We start from the raw sequence: 14556 nt of genomic DNA, 5'->3' as shown, positions 1-14556 counted from the left end.
AACCAGGCACAGTGGCTTATGCCTGTAATTCCAGCACTTTGGGAGGCCTAGGCCGGAGGATTGCTTGAGGCCAGGAGTTTGAGACCAGCCTGGGCAACATGGCAGAACCCTGTCTCTACAAGTAAATTTTAAAATTAGCTGGCTGTGACAGCTCACGCCTGTAATCCAAGCTACTCAGGAGGCTGAGGTGGGAGGATCGTTTGAGCCTGGGTAACCAAGGCTGCAGTGAGCTAGGGTTGTGCATTCCAGGTGGCAGAGTGAGACCTTGCCCCTCCCCCCCAAAAAAACCTTACTTTTTAAACTAAATTTACAACTCCAGACTGAATTTTTTATGGTTATAAAAACATTTTTAAAACTACAACTCAGGACTGAAATGTTCATGGTTATAAATGTTTCCATGCTGTCTTCCTGATCTGCTTTTTTTTCTTTTTTTTCTTTTTTTTTTTTTTTGAGATGGAGTCTTGCTCTCTTGCCCAGGCTGGAGTGCAGTGGCGCAGTCTCGGCTCACTGCAAGCTCTGCCTCCCGGTTTCACACCATTCTCCTGCCTCAGCCTCCCGAATAGCTGGAACTACAGGCGCCCGCCACCACGCGTGGCTAATTTTTTGTATTTTTATTAGAGACAGGGTTTCACTGTGTTAGCCAGGATGGTCTCGATCTCCTGACCTCGTGATCCGCCCGCCTCGGCCTCCCAAAGTGTTGGAATTACAGGCGTGAGCCACCTCGCCCAGCCTTTTTTTCTTTTCAAATATGGTAATACATTCAGTCTTTTCTGCCATCTTTATGGCTCTTGTTGCCCAGGCTGGAGTGCAATAGTGCGATCTCAGCTCACCACAACCTCCACCTCCCGGGTTCAAGCGATTCTCCTTTCAGCCTCCCGAGTAGCTGGGATTACAGGCATGCGCCACCACGCCCAGCTAATTTTGTATTTTTAGTAGAGATGGGGTTTCACCATCTTGGCCAGGCTGGTCTCGAACTCCCGACCTCAGGTGATCTGCCCGCCTTGGCCTCCCAAAGTGCTGGGATTACAGGCATGAACCACCGCGCCTGGTCTTTTTTGTTTGTTTGTTTTTGTTTTTGTTTTTGAGACGGAGTTTCGCTCTGTCACCCAAACTGGAGTGCAATGGCGTGATCTCCGCTCATTGCAACCTCCGCCTCCCAGGTTCACATCATTCTCCTGACTCAGCCTCCTGAGTAGCTGGGACTACAGGCATGTGCCACCACGCCTGGCTAATTTTTTGTATTTTTAGTAGAGACAGGATTTCACCATGTTAGCCAGGATGGTCTCCATCTCTGGACCTCGTGATCCGCCCACCTAGGCCTCACAAAGTGCTGGGATTACAGGGGTGAGCCACCGCACCCGGCCCAAGATCCGTCTTTACGTTTGAAAAAATATACTCCACTTCACAATAAAAAGGCTGAGTATTGCAATTTGAAAAACTTCCAATATACAACATCAAATGAATACTGTTTGGCTGAGAAAAATTTGAATTGACACGTCACTTTAAAGAAAAAAAGTTGGCCAGGCGCAGTGGCTCATGCCTGTAATCCCAGCACTTTGGGAGACCAAGGTGGGCGGATCACCTGAGGTCAAGAATTCGAGACCAGCCTGGCCAACATGGTGAAACCCTGTCTCTATTAAAAATACAAAATTAGCCGGGCGTGGTGGCACATGCCTGTAATGCCTGCTACTCAGGAGGCTGAGGCAGGAGAACTGCTTGAACCCAGGAGGTGGAGGTTGCAGTGAGCTGAGATTGCGCCACTGCACTTCCAGCCTGGGCGACAGAGACCCCGTCTCTGTCGAAAACAAAAAGTTGGATAATTAAAAAAACAAATTTGAGCATTTGGTATTTGGGTGTCTTAGAAGCCATCAAAAGAAGAGCCAAAGGTTTAGGCAGCTCAGAGCTGCAGGGAGCAAACCTCAGCCCTGGCATTATTGTAACCAAGGGACCAGCTCAAGCCAATTAACCAGTGCTTAAGTTAATTAGCTGACGCAGAGCCAGAATTGCCCAGGCGTGGGCAATGGGAAACACTTTAACCTCCTCATCCTTACCAGCAGCCTGGCCAGCCAGCTACATTGGCATCACCTGGGACCAGCTAGGAATGCCATAAAAGCTGGACCCACCCCCAGCTCAGGGAGGCAGAATTAAGCGTTGTCTCCCATCTCCTTGCAGTCCGCTCGCAATAAAGCTTTTTTCTTTCTTGGAAAGCTGGTGCCATAGTGTTGGCTTCTATGCGTGTCAGACACTGGGCCCATTGCTGAGTAACATGTCATCCTGAGCTACACTCACTGCACTGGTAGCTCCTTGGGACTCCAGGACCGAATTAGAGCAGGCAGCAGGCAGAGTTTGATGTGGCATCCTTGCTCCAGCATCCAGAGGAGGTGGGTTTCACAGAGTGGGAAAAAGTGTATTTCAGAGAGGGAGTTATTCACCACTAGCCATTTCAATAACCCCGAGCAGGTCGTGCAACCAAGACAGTTCACCCAACCCCGCCAAGACCCGCCTAACAACGCGGTGAGGAGGCTGCAGGCTCCCACAGAGCTCGCCCTCCCCCTGCAGGAGAAAGCGGCAGCTGGCGCTGGCCTCCCTAGCCCTGCTTCTACCACTGCTGCTGGCACCAAATGCAAGGCGTGAGGAAGAGGGTCGGGGTCTCAGAGGTCAGCCACGCTTCCTGAACTTTGTGGCGCGCACGCCATACTCGGGACAGTGGCCATGGAGAGGAAGTAAACGATGCTGCTCCCACCTCAGTAAAAACTGTAAACTAGGTCGTGTTGGAGTTGGAATATTATAAGTGTTTGTAGAACAGATGAAAATTAGGAGTGGTAAAAGAGGAATACTAAAATTTTAAAAATCGTAATAAGCCTCACATAAAAAGCACACAGAGTATCATTCTAGTTTTTTTTTTTTTTCTTTTTTTTTCGAGACAGAGTTTCACTCTGTTGCCCAGGCTGGAGTGCAGTGGTGCGATCTCCGCTCACTGCAAACTCTGCCTCCCAGGTTCACGCCATTCTCCTGCCTCAGCCTCCCAAGTAGCTGGGACTACAGGCACCCGCCACAGTGACCGGCAAATTTTTTGTATTTTTTGTATTTTTAGTAGAGACGGGGTTTCACCGTGTTAGCCAGGATAGTCTCGATCTCCTGACCTCGTGATCCGCCTGCCTCGGCTTCCCAAAGTGCTGGGATTACAGGCGTGAGCCACCGCCCCCGGCCTATTCTGGTTTTATTGTGCCATGTAAAAAGTGTTTCCAGGCCGGGCTGTAGTCCCAGCTACTCAGCTACTCAGGAGACTGAGGCGAGAGGATTACCTGATCCCAGGAGGTCGAGGCTGCAGTGAGCCGTGATCATGCCACTCTACTCCAGCCTGGATGACAGAGTGAGACTGTCTCAAGAAAATATATATATATATGTATTTCTGCAAATGCCTGTGCACAGCCTGTGCCTCTTATTTGTGCCCCTGTACCTGAGATCATTCACATAGGTTGGATTCGGGTTCCGGCTGGAGCTACTGCTCATTGCCTGTGTGGCCTCTGGCAAACTCCGTAACTTCTCTGGGCCTCGGCTTTCTCATCTCTAAATTAAGACTTCCAGAATCTCTCTCAGCTCTGTAATTCTATAGCTAATGGATTTGTAATGAACCTAAATTGCATCATCCAAAAATAAAGTAAACTGTGAAGCAATTGTAGGATAGATGATAAATTGCAGATGTATGTAAAGGACATGAATTCATCTCTTGTAAGCCTGATATCTAACAAAGGACCAGGCATTTATGGTAGGTACTCATATCTTTTAATGAATTTAATTAAATAAGGATGCTAATTAAAAAATAATTTCCTAGCTCTTGCTAAAATAGAGTAAGGGATATCTTTAGTGACTATATATTACCAATTACTCTATTACTAATGACAAGGAAATGACAGAATGGTTTCTGACTTCCTGGCCAGGCCAGAGGGAAGGACCATGCTCAGTGCAGCTATTGTGGTCCAGGAACCTGGTAGCTCTTTCTATTGCCAGAGTAGAAATTTGATTTAGCCTGTCCTCCAGAGCTAATCAGTCTGGAGGCAATGAGTCTCCCATAACTGAACTCCAAGATACTGATGCTTACCATAGACTCCACTGGGTTAATTAATAGAAATAAGCCTGTTAGGTGGACCAGACATGAGACGTAAGAAACTACAAAGAAAAGAGCAAATTTTTCCCAAGCCAAAGATGGGAAAGACAAGAAATTAGACGTTTCAATGGAAGAGAAAACAGAGAGCTGGGCACTCTGGCATGTGCCTATAATCCCAGGCTCAGGAAGCTGAGATAGAAAGATTGCTTGAGCTCAGGAGTTCAAGATCTCCCTCAGTAACATAGCAAGACCCCATCTTTTTTTTTTTTTTCAAGATGGAGTCTCGCTCTGTCACCCAGGCCAGAGTGCAGTGGCGCAATCTCAGCTCACTGCAACCTCCACCTCCCCGGTTCAAGCGATTCTTCTGCCTCAGCCTCCTGACTAGCTGGGACTACAGGTGCGTGACACCACGCCCGGCAATTTTTTGTATTTTTAGTAGAGACGGGGTTTCACCGTGTAGCCAGGATGGTCTCAATCTCCTGACCTCGTGATCCTCCCGCCTCGGGCTTTCAAAGTGCTGGGATTACAGGTGTGAGCCACCGCACCCGGCCGCAGGACCCCTCCTTAAAAAAAAAAAAAAAAGAAACGAAAAAGAGAAAAACAATGGAGAAAGATCAATGAAACCAAAAGCTGGTTCTTTGAGAACGTCAATAAAATGGATAAACCGCTAGCCAGACTGATCAAGAAAAAAATAAAGGAAGAAGATAAAATCAATATCAGGAATGAGAGAGATGCCATCTGGTCTTGAACTCCTGGGCTCATCTAAGGGAAACACAGCAGAGATGGAGGAGGAGGGATTGATTACAAAAAGTCAGGAGGAAACTTTGGGGGGTGATGGATCTGTTCATTTTCTTGATTGTGGGGATGGTTTGACTGTGTATATATATGTTAAAACTCATTGGCGAGGCTCGGTGGCTCATGCCTGTAATCCCAACACTTTGGGAGGCCGAGGCAGAAGAATCACTTGAACCAGGAGGCGGAGGTTGCAATGAGCTGAGATCGCATCACTGCGCTCCAGCCTGGTGATAAGGTGAGACTCCATCTCAAAAAAAAAAAAAAAACTCATCAAATTGTGCAATTAATGTGAAACTTACCAATAACCTCCAAATTATGTAGACATAATGTTATGTGGAGACTTTATACTTCAATAAAGCTATAAGAAAAGTTTCTGGCCGGGTGCGGTGGCTCACGCCTGTAATCCCAGCACTTTGGGAGGCCGAGGCGGGTGGATCACGAGGTCAGGAGATCGAGACCATCCTAGCTAACACGGTGAAACCCTGTCTCTACCAAAAAAATACAAAAATTAGCTGGGGATGGTGGCGGGCGCCTGTAGTCCCAGCTACTCAGGAGGCTGAGACAGGAGAATGGCGTGAACTGGTGAGGCGGAGCTTGCAGTGAGCCGAGATCACGCCACTGCACTCCAGCCTGGGTGACAGAGTGAGACTCCATCTCAAAAAAAAAAAAAAAAAAAAAAAAGGTTTCTAAAAATTCTATGCTGGCCAAGCGTGGTGGCTCATGCCTGTAATCCCAGTACTTTGGGAGGCTAAGGCAGGGGGATTTCTTGAGCCCAGAAGGTTGAGGCTGCAGTGAGCCATGATCGAACCACTGCACTCCAGTGTGCGGGACAGTGAGACCCTGTCTCAAAAAAAAAAAAAAAAAAAACCTGGGCGTGGTGGCTCACACCTGTAATCCCAGCACTTTGGGGGGCCAAGGTGGGCAGATCACCTAAGGTCAGGAGTTCAAGACCGGCCTGACCAACACAATGAAACCCCGTCTCTACTAAAAATACAAAAATTAGCCGGGTGTGGTGGCGGGCTTCTGTAATCCCAGCTACTCGGGAGGCTGAGACAGGAGAATCGCTTGAACCCGGGAGGTGGAGGTTGCAGTGAGCCGAGATCATGCCATTGCACTCCAGTCTAGGCAAGAAGAACAAAACTCCATATCAAAAAAAAAAAAAAAATTCTAGGCTAACCCTCAGAAAATAAAGACCTAGTTTTTCAATGAATGAAAAGTATCCAATATGATACATTAAATCCTGTCTCAAAACCATTGATAATTCTCAGAGTGCCTGGGCTGAAATTTACCCCTTTATTTGAGCAAATAGTTTCTTCATAGATAGGGAAATTTAGTGCTATTTAATCAAATGTGCCAGAGTAATATTAAAATATTTGAGGAGTCCTGGGTGGGTGCGGTGGCTCATGCCTGTAATCCCAGCACTCTGGGAGGCAAAGGTGGGCAGATCACTCGAGGTCAGGAGTTCGAAGCCAGCCTGGCCAAAATGGCGAAACCTTGTCTCTACTAAAATTACAAAAATTAGCCGGATGTGATGGCACATGCCTGTAGTCGCAGCTACTCGGGAGGCTGAGGCAGGAGAATCACTTGAACCCAGGAGGCGGAGGTTGTAGTTAGTGGAGATCACGCCACTTGCTCTCCAGCCAAGAGTGAGACTCCACCTCCAATAATAATAATAATAATAAAATATTTGAGGAGTCCTAAAATGTAAGTACCCATAAGCATTTAGAAATACCCACCTACAGATAAGTAAGTGAGGTGGTCATTATACATCATTCTTGGCCAGTAATCCAGGCTTGAGATGCTGTGTGAACTTGTAAGCAGCAAAAGAAGATAAAAAGGCATTCTTCATAAAGTTAAGAATTAAATGAGATATCAATAAGCCTTATTTTAAAATAATTCATCATGCCAGGCATGGCGGCTCACGCCTGTAATCCCAGCAATTTGTGAGGCCGAGGTGGGTGGATCACCTGAGGTCAGGACTTCGAGACCAGCCAGACCAACATGGAGAAACCCCATCTCTAAACACAAAAATTAGCTGAGCATGGTTGTGGGCACCTGTAATCCCAGCTACTCGGGAGGCTGAGGCAGGAGAATCACTTGAACCCGGGAGGCAGAGGTTGCAATGAGCCGAGATCGCGCCACTGCACTCCAGCCTGGGCGACAGAGGGAGACTCCATCTAAAAAAAAAATAATAAAATTAAAAATAAAGTAAAATAACTCATCATTTAGTTTTACATAACTCAAACTTGCTTTCTCTGTTCAGTGATTGAGGTTTCGTTACATTCATTGGTTGAATTCAAAATAGAATTCACTTAGGATTGATTTGCAAGCACAATATACTCAGAATACAGCAGACAAGTGCGACTCGCATGTGAGAACTCTGGGGGTTCTAAGTCAGGTGTGTGGGAGGGAACGCTGCTCCCACGATATGCCAGGAAGGGAGGGCTCCCGCGGGGAAGCGGCCCTGGGAGTGGCGCCCCCTGCTGGACAGCGCGCCGGTGCACACCAGCGAGCGAGAAGCTCTGCGCTGCTGGAGGAAAAGTGGGTTCAAGCCAAAGCTTCCCAAAGGGAGTCACCTTGAGGCCCCTTCTGTCGGAACATGCTGAGATGCTGGTGCTCCAAGCCCAGGAATCTCTGGCTCTTCCTGAGTGCCCACCCCATGATGAACAGCTCCTCTTTAGTCGACCTCTTTCGCCTGGGACCCACACCTGCCACTCTCAGCCACGCTCTGCACATGCCTTTCTGGGGTCACAAAGCTCATTACACATCTTCCTTGGTTGAAAGAAGAATTTCAGCCAGGAGCGGTGGCTCACGCCTGTAATCCCAGCACTTTGGGAGCTCGAGGTGGGAGGATCATCTAAGTCCACGAGTTCGAGACCAGCCTGGGCAACAAAGTGAGGCCCTATCTCTAAAAAAAAAAAAAAAAAAAAAAAAATTGTTTGTTTTGTTTTGTTTTGTTTTGTTTTTGAGATGAAGTCTCGCTCTGTTGCCTAGGCTGGAGTGCAATGGTGATCTTGGCTCCCTACAACTTCCGCCTCCTGAGTCGAAGCAATTCTCCCACCTCAGCCTCCCGAGTAGCTGGGATTACAGGCGTGCGCTACCACGCCTGGCTAATTTTTGTATTTTTTAGTAGAGACAGAGTTTCACCTCGTTGGCCAGACTGCTCTCGAACTCCTGACCTCAAGTGATCCCCCCATCTCAGCCTCCCAAAGTGCTGGCATTACAGGCGTGAGCCACCGTGCCTGGCCAAAAAAAAATTTTTTTAATCGCGCAGTGGCACATGCCTGTAATTCCAGTTACTCAGGTGGCCAAGGCGGGAGGATTGCTTGAGCCCAACCAAGAGCTAGAGGCTGCAGTGAGCTATGGTGGCACCAAGTACTCCAGCCTGGGCATCAGAGTGAGACCCTGTCTCAAAATAAAAAAAGTGCTGGAGGCTCATGTTCCCCCGTTGCAGCGTGTGACCACTGACTGCCAGGCACACTCTAGGATCAAGCTGCTGCAAGCACCAACAGGACCTGGGCCGAAACTCGCCTCCTGAAACCCACCTCCTGCTTGTCTTCTCCTGTTTCCATAAGCATTGAGAAGCCTGCTCTCCTCCGCACCCCCCAGTAAGCCACCTGAGCACGAATCCCCACCTGGGCGGATGTGGGCAGCACACAGGTAATCCCGGGGTGGCCACCCTGCCCACACCACCCACCGTGCTCTTCTTCACATCAGCTGCCTTCAGGTGACTGCACATCCCAAAACTGCGTGGGAACACCACCGTGGGCCTACCCATGTCCTGAAGTATCCAGGAGACTGGCGGGATGCCCGTCGCCTCTCCCTGCCCCACAAAGCGACTACTGTGGGGACCGCAAGGAGCCACATGGAAGAGCTGCCTGTCCTGGCCGGCTCAGGCTCTCCCCAGGCTGAGGACAACCATGGGACTGATAGAGACACTCTGTTGTTGAGATTCGGGCTTTCTCTCTTTCGAAAAGGGGTGAAGACGAAGGCTTGTGTCTGCATCTCCTCTCTGGTCTCAAAGCTGAGTGGCTTTTCCAGGGAAGCCAGCACCCGCGGCCTCTCATGCCAGCCCAAGCAGTTCTGAAGCCCACCCCTGTGACGAGGCGCTGCCGGCTGCGGAGCCTGTGCCAGCACGTCTCATCACCCAGGCGGGCTCCCCAGGCCCACAGGATAGCTCTGCCCCCAGCCATGGGTACTGCCAGGCCATCTCCCCACCCCACCCGGAGGAATTGAGGGCCTCTGCCTCACACACACATCCCTTCCCCGCAGCCCAAGCACCAGCACACCAGCAGGTGGAGAGAGTTGTTTCACTTGTGCTTGAGAAGGCGCCTTCCCTTCTAAGAGGAACTGCAGATGTGAACGTTTGCAAATCAAATTCCAACCGAAATGGCCTGCAGTGGCAGTTCTCAAAGGGTTTCCTGGGGCCACAGCAGCAGCATCTGGGAACCTGTCATAAATGCAGGTTCTTGGGCCCCACCCAAGACCTGCTTTGGGCCCTCCGTGATAGGGCCCAGGCCTGTGTTTCAGGAGCCCTCCAGGAGATTCTGATGCATACTCAAGTGCAGCCCACTGACCTAAAAGAGCCTGCCTTTGAAGGAAGCCTGGAGCAAGGCCTTCTGCAAAGACTTGAACCACCCGCAGTTCTGCCCAGTCAGCACAGCTGAATTTTCCTCCAAATACAGCACAGGGTGCACCCACCTTCAGAAGAAAAGCCCCCCGGCCCAGCTTCCAGGTGTCGTGAGGAGAGCAGCCGCAGACCGAGGCTGCATACCTGGGGCTGGGCTCCCTTCCCCTCCCCTGCCGCCCTGCCTGCCCTGCTGCAGGAGGCGAGGCCCGGCTGTGTGCTCACTGCTCCAGGCCTGATGATGGCTGGGAGCATTCAAGGAGCCACCCCTACCTGTGCCTGGGGCGCAGTTGGTCTTGTCTTAAACTCAATTTCTGGTAGACCTGGAGGCTGGGCTCAGCCTCAGTCTCCCTCCACCTCTCCACCATGTGTGTCAGGCAAAGAGGCTGGGCTTCCCCGCTATTTTCCTGCCCTGAGCTGAGCATCAAGCTGGGCCTCAGAGATCCTTCCTTTCTCCCCATGCTCCCCTCTCTCCAGGAGGGGAGGGACTCTCCTCCAATCTCCAATATATGGTACATATACATATATATATACCAAAACAAAGATGTAGCTGCTGTCACTGCTGACCAGAACACCCTTCCGGTGTGCCTTCCCACCTGAGCTGTGCCTGCACTCACCAGCCCCCTTGGGCAGATTGCCACTGTCTTTAGGAGCCAGGCTTATACCCACCTCTCCCCACATGCCTACCCAACTCTCAGGTCCCAACATGCCCAGCAGTTGAGCCAACACAAGTTGATCTAAGTTCATCAGAAGGTGAGTGTTTGACTGATTCTATACTCGCCACACAGGCCCACCCTCGTCTCATGCAAGTGACAGCCCCAACTCCACTCCTCATCTCCCAGCCTGTGAACCGAGGCAGCCATGGAGCCTGGAAGGAGAACAGACTCCAGTATCCACAGACGCCCATTCTAAGATGTTCTCACGGGGGATCAAAAGAAGCTGAGATCTACCCATGTTGGCCCTGTCGGGACACAGTATCTTTTGGGGATCCAAGAAGACACTGTGGGCCCCAGGACTCCTGGATCCCAGAACTGTGGCTGGCCCTGGACACAGAGCGGCCTAGAAGATCTTGGCTCTGTGTCTCACTGGGGCCTCCTTGACCCATTTCCAAGCTGTCCTCTCTCCTCCCCGTGCCTGCTCCCTGCTACGCTGCTCCGCTCCTCCTGACTAGGGTCACGATGCTGTGTGGGGCCCCATGGCACCCACACGACCTTTTGGCCATATTTCCCTTCTCCAAGGAGCCTCCCTCTTCTGTTTATGGTCCAAACCTGAATGGGACATCTGACTGGCCCGGCTCATCTTCGGCACCAGCCTATAGGTCTCCCGCCAGCCTATGCGCGAGCTGCCCTCGGGCCTGGTGTCCGCCGGTGATCCATGCCGCGTGACAGGCCAGGGTTTCAGGGGTTTCCTTCCCCACAGCTCTGCTCATTGTCTCTCTCCACCATTGAGACGCCCATCTGGGTCCCTTATATTTTGGTTTTTAAACCTCCCGGTTTCATGCAGTTTTATTTCATCTTTAAAGGTTGACACATGGTTGTCAGCCCAGCGGCCCTGGTCTGGAAGTCCAGGTTTGGGTGGCAATGGCGGTGAGAGTGCTTTGGGCCTCGGTGCCAGAGGCCAGCCTGGTGATTTAGACACCTCCTCCCTGCCAGGAGCCTGTGTTCACTCCAGTTCTTTCAAAGTGGCTGCAGAGGGGGGAGGTGGGGATTAAACGGAGGCTCCTCACTGCAGCAGAGGAAAGCAACCCTTGCCAAGCCCCTGGTCTTGTGCCAACTCCCTGCTGGTTTGGGGAAAGCTGATGAGGGTGGCCCGCCATGCTCTGGTTCTCAGGACAAAGTTCAGAAGGTGAGCCCAGCGTCCTGGCAACAACTACCCCTGGCTGCTCCGTGGCCACCGTGGGAGTGGTTAATAAACACCCGGGCTGGAGGTGGTAACGCCTATCTTCCAGGAACTTAGTTCAGAAGAGCTTTATGACCTGGATGGAGTCACCTGTTAAAGAGTAACGTACACCCCATATTACACTCGAGTCCCAGGAGTAACTATCCAGGGGAAGTGTTTATTTCCATGGGTGAACAAAGCATCCTTTGGGGGAGACCCTACCAGCACCAGGCTCTCCTTTGATGGGAACTGTCTGGCCCAGGCCTGGGGAATATGCAGCCTTGCAGCTACCAGTTAGCCACTTTGGGGGTGAGTTTATCCTACACAGTTTATCCTTGCTCTCCCCAGAGTGAGGGATTGAGTGGGCTGGCAGGAAACCAAAAGGAATCTACCTGTCCCTCCCACTCCCCCCACAGGCCCACATGGCGGGGAAGGAAGGCGGGATCCATCTCCACATGACGGGGAAGGAAGGCAGGATCCATCTCCACATGATGGGGAAGGAAGGCAGGATCCATTTCCACATGACAGGGAAGAAAGGCGGGATACGTCTCCACACATGATGGGGAAGGAAGGTGGGATCTATTTCCACGTGACAGGAAGGAAGGAGAGATCCATCTCCATGTGGCTGGAAGGAAGGCGGGATCCGTCTCCACATTGCCAAGCTACACCCTGTGGTTTCTCTCCTCGTCTGGCACAAAGGCAGTGCTCATCCCTCAGTGTGGGGCCATGGCAGTACAGGTACCCCCGTCTCCTCTGGGGTCTCACCACGTCTCACGGATCCTCCTGGAAGGGGTGCTACAGCTCTCCAAGCACTTACTCTGGGCTGCACCTTCAAGTCTGGGAGAGAGCTTTGCTAAAATACAACTTTCTGAGTCCAGCCCTGCAAACCTACCCAGCCCAGACCAGCCGAGGAGGAGATGGGGAGCCAAGTGCCTGGAGGAAGGAGCCTGGGGCTGACCAGTGCTGGATGATTAAATTAAATTCCTAGGGTGGTGCGTGCCAGTAATCCCAGGTACTCAGGAGGCTGAGGTGGGAGGAGCACTTGAGCCCAGGGGGTCAAGGCTGCAGTGAGCCATGATCACACAACTGCAATCCAGCCTGAGTGACAGAGTGAGACCCTGTCACTTAAAAATAAAATGCTCCCTGGGCCGGGTGCGGTGGCTGACTCACGCCTGTAATCCCAACACTTTGAGAGGCCAAGGTGGGCAGATCATGAGGTCAGGAGTTCGAGACCAGCCTGGCCAATACGACGAAACTTGGTCTCTACTAAAGATACAAAAATTAGCTGGGCGTGGTGGCTGGCACCTGTAATCCCAGCTACTCCAGAGGCTGAGGCAGGAGAATCGCTTCAACCTGGGAGGCGGAGGTTGTAGTGAGCCGAGATCACGCCATTGCACTCCAGCCTGGGCTACAAGGCAAGACTCTGTCTCAAAAAGAAAAGAAAAGAAAAGAAAGGGGGAGGGGAGGGGAGGGGAGGGAGAATCCAGCTATGTAGTCAGGTTGGGAAGGCCAGGAGTGTGAACCCCACGGGATGTGATGGGACTGGGGTCATGTGGGAGGCAATGCTGGCTCAGACAGAAGAGGGAGGGCGCCACGGCACTCCAGTGCAGGAGCCTGCAGTGGACCTCGTTCCCTGTGAGCACAGGGTTCTGCCTGGTCCAGGTAACAGCCGCGTGAGGCTGGTCTTAGACTGTCCATTTTTTCGCTTAAGGAACCCACAGGACGGCTGGGTGCAGTGGCTCACACTTGTAATCCCAGCACTTTGGGAGGCTGAGGTGGGCAGATCACCTGAGGTCAGGAATTCAAGACCAGCCTGGCCAACATGGTAAAACTCTGTCTTTACTAAAAGTACAAAAATTAGCCCAGTGTGGTGGCACACACCTGTAATCCCAGCTACTCAGGAGGCTGGGGCAGGAGAATCGCTTGAACCCAAGAGGCGGAGGTTGCAGTGAGCCAAGATCGCACCACTGCACTCAAGCATGGGTGACAGAGCGAGACTCTATCTCAAAAAAAAAAAAAAAAAGGAAAAAAAAGAAACCCACAGGACCACAGGTAGCCTGTCCAAGCCACACAGCCAGAGCAGGGGGCCTGGGGTGCGCAGCCTTCCGATCACGACCATGGCTCTGTGGAGTAAGATCCCTCTTCCCTGGTATGGACCCTTTATGCAAACATCCTGAGTGACACAGAGACAGAGCCTGTCTGCCGTGGTGCCATTAAGCCACCGAGCACTGGTGGCCTCTGAGTGGGACGGGTATAAGGTGGCCAGGTGGAGCCAGCCCTGGGGAAACCAGGCCAAGGACGCTGTGCCAGGCTTGGCACCAGAGACACACCCTCAGCTCACCCTGAGTGCCTCTCCACCCCCACCCTGGGGGCACCCTGGCATCCGTGAGACACATGCCTCGGACTGGAGGTGGGTCAGCTGAGGCAGGCGCAATTAGGGAGAATGGGGCAAGGCCCATGACCTGGCAGGTGCCCTCCATGTGGGGCCCTTGGGTGATTTCTGGCTGACAGGCAGGCCAGTACTGAGTCAGAAGGAAACCGCGTTTGGGAAGGCCAGAGGTCACTTCAGGGTGCTCTTCCCTCTCCTCGGGAAGCTGCCCTAATTAGCACCTTGGCCAGAGGGCCTTCATGGGAAGCGCGGCAGCTTGCATCCTCGGCCCGCCCAGTGACCTGGCCTTCCCCACGTGTGCCTGGTCCTGACCTAAGTCCTAGAGGGTGGACACCCAGCCCCCACACTGGTATGGCGGTGAGGACTGATGATCTCCCGTGGGAGATGTGGGGAGTGGTGCCTGGCCCCACCCCCGGGCCCGCTGGGCATGAAGGGGCTTCCGCCTGTCCTCGAGAGCAGCGCTGACCTGGTCACCTCCAGCCCTGCACACCTACCCAGCCCGGGCCGGCCAAGGAGGCAGGGAGCCAAGTACCTGGAGGAGGGAGCGTGGGGCTGGCCAGTGCCTGGGTGATAACTCGGAGTCCCCGGAGCACTCAGTGTCACACCCACACTGCAGCCAGAATCCACAGGCTTCCCAAAGGCCTCGATCCCCCCACCCCCTCCACACGGGCTGTGGCTTTTGCCCCCAGGCCTGCCACGCCTTGCCTCATGCCCGGAACTGGCTCACCATGCCTGCCCCTCAGCCCTCCCAGAACCTGG

At 52.2% G+C, this 14556-nt stretch overlaps 1 annotated feature.

The window, feature by feature from the left end:
- Nucleotides 7273-7332: a silencer, noted in NCBI's record as "silent region_6182". NCBI's record gives its function as "represses an Ori minimal core promoter by ATAC-STARR-seq in GM12878 lymphoblastoid cells {active_cell/tissue: GM12878}" and the evidence as "EXISTENCE:reporter gene assay evidence [ECO:0000049][PMID:35858748]".

Source organism: Homo sapiens, chromosome 14 (genome assembly GCF_000001405.40).
Source record: "Homo sapiens chromosome 14, GRCh38.p14 Primary Assembly".
Taxonomy (NCBI): Eukaryota; Metazoa; Chordata; class Mammalia; order Primates; family Hominidae; genus Homo; species Homo sapiens.
This window is presented reverse-complemented; position numbering and strand designations above follow the sequence as displayed.